The sequence below is a fragment of the Homo sapiens genome, chromosome 1 (genome assembly GCF_000001405.40).
Source record: "Homo sapiens chromosome 1, GRCh38.p14 Primary Assembly".
Lineage (NCBI taxonomy): Eukaryota > Metazoa > Chordata > Mammalia > Primates > Hominidae > Homo > Homo sapiens.
In genome coordinates, this window is record NC_000001.11 from 235,314,350 (window position 1) to 235,327,067 (window position 12,718).

Genomic DNA, 12,718 nt, shown 5'->3' on the forward strand with positions numbered 1-12,718 from the left:
ATATTTACACAACTTTACAAGGTAGCTGTTATTATTCTCATTTTACAAAAATTGAAACTGATGTTTACTTTCATTTCAAAAACAGTAACTTTACCCAAACCTCAGCAGCCAAGTAAAGGACATAAAAAGGACTGGAAATAAGACCACTGACTTTCCAAGCCATATGCTCTTAATCATGAAGCTACAATGTTTACTGGGCACTTTAAACAAAGACAGTTTTCACAGTCATATTCAAGCAGTAAATTAAGAGAGGGGACAAGTAGATTTACCAAGAAAAGCTTCTGCATCACTAAGTAGCAGGAAAAGAAAGGTTAGAAACAACAGCAAGGTTCCTGGAATAAAGAAATCTGGTTTATATTTAATTTACATATAAATTATCTTAAATGATATATAACAATATATATAACATTTTACTATCAGTAAAATATGTTTATAAATACGTATTTATATATATTTCGGTATATACATTATTTTGGCTATCAATATAAAGTAAATCCTTTCTTTAAATACCACTTGCTCAAAGGTTTTAGTTTATAATCTTCATTTGCTATTGAAGTGCATTGTTAAAATATGATGTTCAATGAAACTTACTAAAGTTATCAATGACTATGTTCTCATAAGCAATTATACCCTGAAATCAAAAGGTTATCAATTAGCAGATAGCATTAATAGAACTTTTATATAGGATTTCAGATATTCTAGTTGTCACATTGCCAAAAATTTATCTATAAACTAGAGAAAAATGGCTTAAATGAGAAAAGTCTACATATAAAGTATCTGTCCCATTGTCCAGGCCAGGCTTGGTGGCTCACATCTGTAATCCCAACATTTTGGGAGGCCAAGGTGGGAGGATCACCTGAGCTCAAGAGTTCAAGACTAGCCTGGGCAAGATAAGGAGACCCCGTCTCTACCAAAAATACAAAAAAATTTAGCGAGGCATGGTGGTGTGCATTATTTGTAGTCTCAGCTACTTGGGTGACTGAGGTAGGAAGATCACTTGAGCCCAGGAGCTGGAGGCTGCAGTGAGCTATGATTGCGCCACCGCACTCCAACCTGGGCCGCAGAACAAGGCTATGTCTCCAAAAAAATAAATTATCTGTCCCACTGTCCAAGATATAGTGTAAGTAATCTCACACATTTTAATGGTATAAACCTACTGCCTAATTATTATTCTCTTAATTGATGACAGGTAAATTTGTAACTTAAAAGTGATATACCCTATTTTCTTCCTTATAAATGTAAATTTGTAACTTTAAAGTGATACACCCTATTTTCTACCTTATAAATCAGTAATAATGGCCCAGAGAATTAGCCCGTTCTACCACCTTACTATCAACACTAACATTAATCTGGAAAGACATTAGTTACAGGGATGTTGAATTCTATACTTACGTCTAACTGTATCCTAAAGCTAAGCATATCTGGTTATTCACAGTTAGATACTATTCTTGCCTTAGATAACCCGATTAGAGTAAATAATTGAATATGCAAAAGGTAAGAGTAAGCATATACTAACATTTGTAATAAATAGTTTCATAAATAATATCCAATGTGCCATGGTGGTGTGCACTTACAGTTCCAGCCACTAGAGAGGCTGAGGCAGAAGGATCACTCAAGCCTAGGAGTTCGAGACCAGCCAACGCAACATACCAAGACTCTGATCTCATAAATTAAATTAAATTAAATTAATAAATAATCCCAATTTGCTACAGACTACAATTCCAGATTTCCAGGAAATTATTTTGGAAATTATTTTATAAAATGTTTCCATGGATCAAAGGCTAGTTATAAATTTAAAAAATTCAAATTCTTCTTAGGAATTCAACGAGGTAAACATTTCAAGCAATTCACATTGAGTATCCCTAACTCAAAAATAAGTGGGGTGCAGTGGCTCACACCTGTAATTCCAGCACTTTGGAAGGCTGAGGCGGGCGGATCACTTGAGGTCAGGAGTTCGAGACCAGCCTGGCCAACATGGTGAAGCCTCGTCTCCACTAAAAATACAAAAAATTAGCCAGGTGTTGTGGCACACGCCTGTAATCCCAACTACTCTGGAAGCTGAGGCAGGAGAATCACTTGAACCCAGGAGCCAGAGGCTGCAGTAAGCCAAGATCGCACTACTGCACTCCAGCCTGGGCGACACAGCAAGACTTCGTCTCAAAAAAATAATAATATATTTATATAAGGCTGGGCACGGTGGCTGATGCCTATAATTCCAGCACTTTGGGAGGCTGAGGCAGGAGGATCACCTGAGGTCTGGAGTTCGAGAGACCAGCCTGGCCAACATGGCGAAACCTCGTCTGTACTAAAAATACAAAAATTAGCCAGGTGTGGTGGCAGGCGCCTGTAATCCCAGCTACTTGGGAGGCTGAGGGAGAAGAATCGTTTGAATCCGGGAGCCGAGTGTTGCAGTGAGCTGAGATCGCACCACTGCACTCCAGCCTGGGTGACAGAGCAAGATTCTGTCTCAAACAACCAAACAAAAAAACAAGATACAGATATACATATACATACGTAAAACACAAAAAATCAGAAATGCTACAAAAACTGAAACTTTTTCAGTGTTCATGTTACACCAAAGGGAAATGCTCACTGGAACATTTTGGATTTTCAGATTTGGGATGTTCAAATACTAAGCATATAAATGCAAATATTCCAAAATCTGAAAAAATCCCAAATATTTCTGGTCCCAAGCATTTCAGGTAAGTGATACTCAACCTGATTAAGCATTTCACCTAAATGTTAACATTTCAGAAACAATATAATAAAAATTTTTTTCTGATTCTGCAATGATTTAAGCAAAAATAAATTTGAAAATAAAATGAACAGTGACTAGTTGATTACTTTTTCTTTAATGGTAAAAGTAGAAGGATATAGAAACAACTCTTCCTATTAAATAGATTAGCAGCAGATCAGTCAACAGATGATACCACAGAGCTGTGTTTCTTAACATTTGTACTGTGGGTTTCATCAAGAATCTGATGAAAGCTATCTATGGCTCCTCTCCTCTGAAGCCTACACTTGGACTTTCTGAGTAATATATGAGCAAGCGTTAATTAAGGAAAGGGGAAACTATGCTCAGAGTAAGCCAAGTATTGTTTTAAAACTTTTCCCTTTTTGACTCTTTCATTATGTCCCTTGCTTCTATTAACCAGCTTAAAATAACAGCCACTATGGTAAGGTGAACATGAAGATAGTTTGTCTATGCTGACCTTAGTAGACCTGCTTTTTATTTTCTAGTAAACTGTTTATATACTTCCATAAACTCATTTTTTTCTTCCCCAAATCTGAATGCTGTCTCCAATTTTAGAACGAAAATTATGATTTCTAAAAGCACATTATTTTCTACGGAAACCTTGAATACCAGAGTTTCCTGTACTCCTAAGAGATCCAAAGAGCCAGGAATTTCTACCTGTTTTGTTCCCTGACATATTCCAACTGACTAGAACAGAGACCAATACATAATAAGTATTCAATAAATATTGAATTAATTTTTTAAATGTCCAACTCCTTGGTGGCCACTTGCCACAACACAAAATACATGAAGTTAAATACTCAGCACTCCCCAGGTTATCACACAGGTAATATTAGTACCCTAAGAACTGAAAGGTCCACTCCCAGGACCCAAGAGAATTAAAAATACATGTTCGCACAGAAACTTACATACAAATGCTCATAGCAGCATTACTCACAATAAGCAAAAAAGCAGAAATAACCCACATGTCCTCCAAATAAGTAGACTGACAAAATGTCGTATCTTCATAAGATGGACTATTATTCAGCAATAAAAAAGAGCATAGTATTAACACTTGCTACTCCTTTTTTTTTTTTTTTTTTTTTTTTTTGAGACGGAGTCTTGATCTGACACCTAGGCTGGAGTGCAGTGGCGCCATCGCAGCTCACTGCAACCTTTGCCTCCCAGGTTCAAGCAATTCTCTGCCTCAGCCTCCTGAGTAGCTGGGATTACAGGCGCCCACCACCACACCCGGCTAATTTTTTTATTTAGTACAGATGGGGTTTCACCATCTTGGCCAGGCTGGTCTTGAACTCCTGACATCGTGATCCACCCACATCGGCTTCCCAAAGTGCTGGGATTACAGGCGTGAGCCATCGCGCCTGGTCAACACTTGCTACTTCTTTCACTTATGGGAAGTAAAAGAAATCAGACACAAAAAGGCCACATATGTATTACAGGATTCCGTTAACAGAAAATGCCCAGAATACGCAAATCCTTATAGACAGAAAGTAAATGCTAAGCTCAGTGTCTGAATCTTGTAATCCCAGCACTTTGGGGGCCAATGCAAGAGGATCACTTGAGCTCAGGAGTTCCAGACCAGGCTAGGGAACATAGTGAGACTTCACTACTACAAAAAATTCCAAAATTTGCTGGGCATGGTGGCGCACACCTGTAATCCCATCTACTTGGGAGCTGGAGGCAGGAAGATCGCTTGAACCCAGGAGGTCGATGCTGCAGTGAGCCATGGTCGAGCCACTGCACTCCAGCCTGGGTGACAGAATCAAAACTCTTCTCAAAAAAAAAATTTAGATTAGTTACTGGAGGGATAAAAGAAAGGGAGAACAGTGAATGACTGCTAATGGATAAGAAGTTTCTTGTTGGGAATTTGGAAATGTTCTGGAGTTAAATAGCAGTGACAGATAGCTAGGGATAAGTAACGTGCCTGAAGTCTCAGCTACTCAGGAAGTTGAGGGGGAAAGATCACTTGACCACAAGAGTTCAAGGCCAGCCTAGGTAACACAGCAAGACCTCATCTCTAAAAAAACAAACAAAAGAAATTAACAAAAAAGTTTTCAAAAGATAGTAGTGATGGATGCACAAACTTGTGAAAATACTAGAAATTTATGAACACTTTAAAAAGGTGAATTTGGTGAGGCGCGGTGGCTCATGCCTGTAATCCCAACACTTTGGTAGGCCAAGATGGGAGGATCATTTGAGCCCAGGAGTTCAAGACCAGCCTGGGCAACACAGTGAGACCTCCACAGAAAATTTAAAAGTTAGCTGGGCATGGTGCCGTGCACCTCTGGTCCCAGCTACCTGGGAGGTTGAAGCAGGATCACATGAGCCCACTGAAGATCAAGGCTGCAGTGAGCTGTGATTGCGCCACTACACTCCTGCCTGGGCAACAGACTGTGGCCATGTCTCAAAAAAAATAAAATAAAAGGGTGAATTTTATGGTATGTGAATTATATCTCATTTTTTTTAATTAAAAAAACAAGTGAAAGGATTGCTCAACTCAATGTTCACTGCTCACTGAGAAGGCTAAGATTTGACAATGCCTTCATGGTCATACTCAGTTCCAAGAATCCCATCTACCAACTAATCACAGCAAAAAGACTTTTTTAAAAAAAGGGAGGACGGCCAGGTGCAGTGGCTCACACTTTGGGAGGCCAAGGCGGGCGGATCACTTAAGGTCAGGAGTTCAGAACCATCCTGGCCAACATGGTGAAACCCCATTGCTACTAAAAACACAAAAAAAAAGGCCGGGCGAGGTGACTCACACCTGTAATCCCAGCACTCTGGGAGGCCGAGGCAGGTGGATAACAAGGTCAGGAGTTTGAGACCAGCCTGGCCAACATGGTGAAACCCCGTCTCTACTAAAAATACAAAAATTAGCCAGACATGGTGGCACATGCCTGTAGTCCCAGCTACTTGGGAGGCTGAGGCAGGAGAATCGCTTGAACCTGGGAGGCAGAGGTTGCAGTGAGCCGAGATCGTGCCATTGCACTCCAACCTGGGTAACGAGCGAAACTCCGTCTAAAAAAAAAAAAACAAAAAATACAAAAAAAATTAGCCAGGCGTGGTGGCAGGTGCCTGTAATCCCAGCTACAGGGGAGTCTGGGGCAAGAGAATTACTTAAACTCGGGAGACAGAGGCTGCAGTGAGCCGAGATCACATCACTGCACTCCAGCCTAGGCAACAGAGAGAGGCTCCGTCTCAAAAGAAAAGGAGGGAGGGCACTTGTGGGAGGACATACATGTGCAAGTTGCAGTAAGTAGAATTTTCCCTTCACACCCAATCCATTGAAATCCAATCATCCCCATCTTCAAATATATTCCCAATACTACTATTTCTCCTCACCACCATCTCTCCCCAGGACTAGCTTGACAGCCTTCTGACTGATCTCCCTACTTCCACTCTTGTGTTCCCATGATCTGTTCGAACCCATGATGTGTTCACTACCCAGCAGTCAAACATTTTTGAAAATGTTTATCACATCACTTCACTCAACACCCTTCAAAGGGTTCCTAACACATTCAGATTTTACTCAAGTCCTTACCATGTCCTATAAGGCCCTACAATTGTACTGGCCCTTTGTGACCCTCTCTGACCTCCTCTCCTACCACTCCAGCCCTGATGGCCTTAATGTTCCTTAAATGTATCACACTCAAACATGCCAAGCACACTCCATCTCAGGGTATTTGCACTTGTTTTCTGCAGGGAATGCTCCTCCCCCAGAAACCTGAATGGCTCACTCTATCACTTGTTTCACAGCACACTTAAATGTCATCTCGAAAAGGCCCTCCATTATCACCTAATCTAAAGTAACCCACCCTCTGTCACTCTAACCTCTTATTCTGATTCCGTATCATTTCTCTTCAAAGCACTTAGCATTATTTTTTTTCTTAACGTGTGTCCACCATAGTAGAAAGTAAACTCCACGAGGGTAAGAACTCTTGTTCTATTCACTGCTGCATCCTCAAAACCCAGAACAATGTCCGGTACAAGGAAAGTACACAATGTGTTCAATGACTGAATTCACTGGCTGACTTGGCAAAAACATTCTTCAGTGACATAGGTACTCACCTAGTATTTTTTTTAATTACAATAAACAAAGATTTAGCAATTTGGACAGAAAACATGTTAGTATTTTACAAGATTACCTATTCATCTAAAGGACCACAAATTTATAGCACAAAATTTGCCATGTTATGGATCTTAAATCCCTTCAAATATCATAGATATGAGGTTAACATTCACACCAGATTAACCAAGCCTCTGACTTCATCCTACCTACTTACTCTTACATCTTAACTAGCAGGTCCAATGACAGCATGCTTCAAATGACAGTAACATCTATCTAATTTCCTAAGAAAAAAACCTCCATCTTCTTCCTACCCCAGGATGAGTTACTAGGTCCTGAATTCTACTTCTTTTAAGACAGACTCTTGCTCTGTCGCCCAGGCTGGAGTGCAGTGGCGTGATCTCGGCTCACTGCAAGCTCCGCCTCCCAGGTTCGCACCATTCTCCTGCCTCAGCGTCCTACAGGCGCCCGCTACCAAGCCTGGCTAATTTCTATTTTTTGTATTTTTTTAGTAGAGACGGGGTTTCACTGTGTTAGCCAGGATGGTCTCAATCTCCTGACCTCATGATCCACCCACCTCAGCCTCCCAAAGTGCTGGGATTACAGGTGTGAGCCACTGTGCCCGGCCCTGAATTCTACTTCAAAAAGGCTCAGATCTATCCTCTCTGCTCCACTTCCAATGCATTAGTTCAGGCCCTTATTCATTTTCCACTTGGACTTCTTACCTGGAATTTCCATCCTTACATTCAGCTCTCCCCTTGTTTTTGCAGTGGCCTGATCTCAGCTCACCGCAACCTCCAGCTCCTGGGTTCAAGCAATTCTCAACAACTTTCAATGGTTCCATGTAGTTTTCAAGAAAAAATTTTTTTTTTTTTGAGACAGAGTATTGCTCTTGTCACCCAGGCTGGAGTGCAATGGCATGATCTCGGCTCACTGTAACCTCCACCTCCCGTGTTCAAGCTATTCTTCTGCCTCAGCCTCCCTAATAGCTGGCATTACAGGCTCACACCACCATGCCCTGCTAATTTTGTATTTTTAGTAGAAACAGGGTTTCACCATGTTGGCCAGGCTGGTATAGAACTCAGGTGATCCACCTGCCTCAACCTCCCAAAGTGCTGGGATTACAGGTGTGAGACACCATGCCTGGCCAAGAAAATTTTCGACTCCCTCACTCAGCTTCATCTCCCACCACTGCCCTTTTATTCCTACCCAAACATATCATGCTTTAAGTTAATTCAGTCACACCAAATTACTTACAGTTTCCAGATACTTCACCTTGTTTCGTTCATTTTCCAGTACGTTATCCTCTATCTGAAAAACTTTTCTTCCCTTCTTTGCCTAGCAAAAGCCTTCGCACTCAGCTTAGATGTCAACTCCACCAGAAAACTTTCCATAGCTCTCTGATTTAGCTGTCCTCTTCTGTCCTCTCATAGCATTTCCTACAATTATTTTATGTTGGAATACTCATAAATAGATATGCTAGGAGTTTTGCTTTATTTATCTGCATCTTCTGCTACACTGTGGGCTCCCTGAAAGCAGGTCAGATGCCTCACCCACCTTCATTCTATATTACCTGATATATGAAACGGGTTGTTGTTAAATGAATGACTTATGAAAGGGGTGAGACAGAAGGAAGAGGGGGAAGGAAAAGAACAGAGAGGGGGGAACGAACTGACAGAGTGGATAGGGAGACAAACAAAGGTAGAGGTAGGGGGAGAGAGAGAGAGAACATGTACACACACACAGGGCATTAAAAAAGGGAATTTGTAATCAATCCATTATTTTTTCATGTGGCCTAAGCCAATCATTGTTGAAGAAAGAAAAGTACATCTGGAAAATTCAATCTACGTGGATTCTAAATATAACCACCTTTTTTTTTTTTTTTTTCCTGAAATGGGGTCTCCCTGTCACCCAAGCTGGAGTGCAGTGGTGCCATCTCGACTCACTGCAACCTCCACCTCCTAGGTTCAAGCGATCCTACCTCAGTCTCCTGAGTAGCTGGGAATACAGGCATGCGCCACCATGCCCAGCTAATTTTTTTATACTTTTAGTAGAGACGGGGTTTTCATCACTTTGGCCAGGCTGGTCTTGAACTCCCAACCTCAAGTAATCCACCCACCTCAGCCTCCCAAAGTACTGGGATTACAAGCATGAGCCACCATGCCCGCCAAAGTATAATCATCTAAATCATTCCTCCTCTAAAGATTCTGGTATATCCAGCCCAACCAGCCCATTTTAATTGAAAATTTACTGCTACGTAATAAAAGACGTTAATAACATGTACAATATAGATACAGGAAAAAAAAGTTTGAGTTTAAAAAAAGTAAAAATCGGCCGGGCGCAGTGGCTCACGCCTGTAATCCCAGCACTTTGGGAGGCCGAGGCGGGCAGATCACCTGAGGTCAGGAGTTCGAGACCAGCCTGACCAATATGGAGAAACCTTGTCTCTACTAAAAGCACAAAATTAGCCCGGCATGATGGTGCATGCCTATAATTCCAGTTACTCAGGAGGCTGAGGCAGGAGAACTGCTTGAACCTGGGAGGCAGAGGTTGCAGTGAGCCGAGATCGCACCACTGCACTCCGGCCTGGGCAACAAGAGCAAAAGTCCGTCTTAAAAAAAAAAAGTAAAAATCAACCTGACATAATAAAAATAAGTCTTGGAATTATTTACAAACTTTAATAATCTACCACCTCCTTATAATGTGGTACTGCTGATTTTTATTTTATTTTATTTAGTTTTTTTTTTTTTGAGAGAGAGAGTTTCACTTTTTTCGCCGAGGCTGGAGTTCAGTGGCGCAACCTCAGCTCACTGCAACCTCCGCCTCCTGGGTTCAAGCAGTTCTCCTGCCTCAGCCTTCCGAATAGCTGGGATTACAGGTGTGTGCCACCATGCCCAGCTAATTTTGTATTTTTAGAAGAGACAGGGTTTTACTACGCTGGCCAGGCTGGTCTCAAACTCCCTTGACCTCAGGTGATCCTCCTACCTCGGCCTCCCAAAGTGCTGTGATTACAGGCGTGAGCCACCATGCCCAGCCGGCACCACTGATTTTTAAAAGTCTATCAAGAGCATGAAAAATAAATTCAACATAACACCAACATCACGATCTATGTTACAGCACAAATTCCTTATGTATTACGAATCATATTCCTCAAAAACATACTGTGAAAAAAGTAACATAGCATATATTAGACAGTAATGGGAATGTATTTGTTTACATAAATTCTTAAAGGTAGTACATGGGAAAACTGCTAAAACATACAACACTTCAACTTTAAAACAACACCTAAAAAGTATTACTACATAATCTAACTTTCAATCACCTCAATAAACTGTCACTTAATAAAATTTAAAGATTTGTTGTCGTTAATACAACAGACAATTCAAACTTAAAAGCTTGCTCCCAAGTACAAATATGTTTGGTAAGATCCAATAAATGGCATAAAACCTTCTGTAGCTCAATGATCATCGTAATACAGAAATTACACCAGGCACGGTGACTCTCGCCTGTAATCCCAGCACTTTGGGAGGCTAAGGCGGGAGAGTCACCTGAGCCCAGAAGTTCGACACCAGCCTGGGCAACACGGCAAAACCTCATCTCTACAAAAACTACAAAAATTAGCCAGGTGTGCCTGTAGTCCCAGCTACTCAGGAGGCTGAGGTGGGAGGATTATTTGAGCCCAGGAGGCAGCAGTTACAGATCGTGCCAGCCAGGGTGAAATAGTGAGACTCTATATCAAAAAGAAAAATAAAAAAGAACGAAAGAAATTGGGAACACACAGAAAAAGAAACAAAATTTAGGCCTAATACACTCAACATTAAATAGATTCTGAATTGCAATTTTTGCTAAAGCAAAATACAAATTACAAGAAGCTTCTCATCTTTTATCACATAAGAAATAAAGTTGTAAGAAATAAGCTAAGTTTTTAGTACTAATAATTACTAGCAAATTCTCTGAGATTTGCTATACTTATAATAACAGGAAGTACTTGTATGAAGTTAGAAATTTATTTTAGTAACTTTTTCCTTTTAACGTTAAAAGCACCTTTTTAAAAAATGCAGTAGAATGTAATGCTGAGCACTTAAAATTAGTATTTCTAAAAAGATACCAAAAAATTTGCATTTGGCTAGTATTACCAAGAAACTTTTAAGGCTAAAGTTTCCAACATACTTTCATTTTTTTAAACAGACTACTTAAAAAAAAAAAGGAAACGAAAGGAAGAAAAAAAACATTTTAATCTCAGACTTTCAACTTAACTACATTTCTTTTAACCAAACATTTATAGAGCACCTAAGAAGTGACAAGCACTACAACACTGGGAAATGTGACACATTACATTTACTCCAAACTAAACCTTTTATTTATTCGGCTTCTGAACTTATTATTTCTTACTCAAACCAAAACTTTTCTTAAGAAATTCTCACCCAACATCAAGGTACATATACGAGTTACCTAATAAATGCACTTTCACCACTGTTTTACACAGGTGATGAGAGTTATAGCTAGGATTTGTGACTAACAAAAGGGATTCATTCCTGAAACATGTCTATGCTTCATGAAATGAGATAGGAATAAACTGTTTCAGGTAGTTTACAGCATCCCAAACTCAAAGAGAAAACCTTAAAAAAATTAGACTAAACTTAATTACTCTGTATAGTAGACCAAGATTTAAGTAGCCACAGCTTTTACCTTCTACAACCACAAGTATTACAAATTTTAATTTGGATGCAAAATTGTCAAAGCAGTCTTGATTCTGAGGACAAGTGAAATATTTTTTTAAATAGTTCAAAGGAACTGTCAAAAGTAGACAACGTTGATATTCTAACATGCTATCTGTTGCATTTCTACACTTGTGAACACTCTACCCTTTTCAAGCACTTCTGAATTTGTAATGGATGAAAAAATACAAGCTAGTGTCTAAGTTCCACCAGTTGAATCCAGACTTTTCAAAAATCTAAGGTTTTATTCTAGCATGTGTTTAAAAAAAAAAAAGACAGCATTCATATACATATTCTCTCAAGTAACAAAAATACCTGTATTTTTATCGTTATCATTTCTTCCAACAATTAAGCAAATTTTTTGACCCTATTCTCCACTCAGTTAACATATTGACATCTAAGAGGAACCTGGCCATCAGTTTTCCACACATCATAATGCAACAGAGCCTCTGACTTATTTACAGACCAACCAGATCAATAAAGAAAAATAAACCATATAACCCCAAGTCACTGGAAATACAAGAAACAACTGGTATCTCTGAATTGTGTAAAAAATCACAAAAATTCTCTTTTTAAATCTTTCAATTAAATTATTTTTGTGACGAGTCAAAGAGTTTTCTGCTAAAATTTTACAGTACTGTTCACACAATAAATAAGATTCTCTTTCATCAGTGTAACTGATAGAACCACAATACAGTTCAGTTTCTAGGGTCAGATTACCTGACTTGCTTTTTATTTTACCTTTTAAAACACTTTAATTCATGCCGTTATTCCTCTCATTCCCTACAAAAAGAGATGTTCAATATGGGAGAATCATCTTCAGTTGAGACATCCTATAACTGCCTCCAACTCCACAGCAAAGCCCGCCAGCTGACCCCGGTCTCTCTGGGGAAGGGCTCGGTCACCAAGTCACCAAACACACCTTCCTCTGCAAAACTCGGAAGCCCCACACGACGACCTCGTCGAAACCTCCTACTTCCTGAATTCGATAACCCCAGAGATTCGTTTTCCGCAGGCAATCTTACCTTCATGATGACTCTGGGACCAAGGTATCCTCTAAAACACCAGGTTCAGCTGCACCTGGAGGGGAAACAAAAGACACCCAGTCAACACCACAGGAGCCCCTCTGCACTGGCGGAGGCGGAGGGAAAGAAGCGAGCGACGTCCGAACCCCGAAGA

General features: G+C 40.1%; 1 protein-coding gene across 9 annotated transcripts in view, besides 1 other annotated feature; it reads right to left on the reverse strand.

Annotated features, from left to right (window-relative positions):
- The window catches only part of ARID4B (AT-rich interaction domain 4B), a 161,278-nt gene that overhangs the window by 147,448 nt on the left and 1,112 nt on the right, over window positions 1–12,718 (reverse strand). For all 9 annotated transcript variants that reach the window (NR_135074.2, XM_024447626.2, XM_047422531.1 and 6 more), the window contains exon 2: window positions 12,565–12,619. Coding sequence is in view for 8 of the 9 variants with exons in the window: in XM_024447626.2 (XP_024303394.1) it covers window positions 12,565–12,570 (6 nt within the window). In the remaining variant the exon portion in view is untranslated. The remainder of the gene's footprint in view (window positions 1–12,564; window positions 12,620–12,718) is intronic.
- Window positions 12,511–12,700: an enhancer, noted in NCBI's record as "active region_2797". NCBI's record gives its function as "activates an Ori minimal core promoter by ATAC-STARR-seq in GM12878 lymphoblastoid cells {active_cell/tissue: GM12878}" and the evidence as "EXISTENCE:reporter gene assay evidence [ECO:0000049][PMID:35858748]".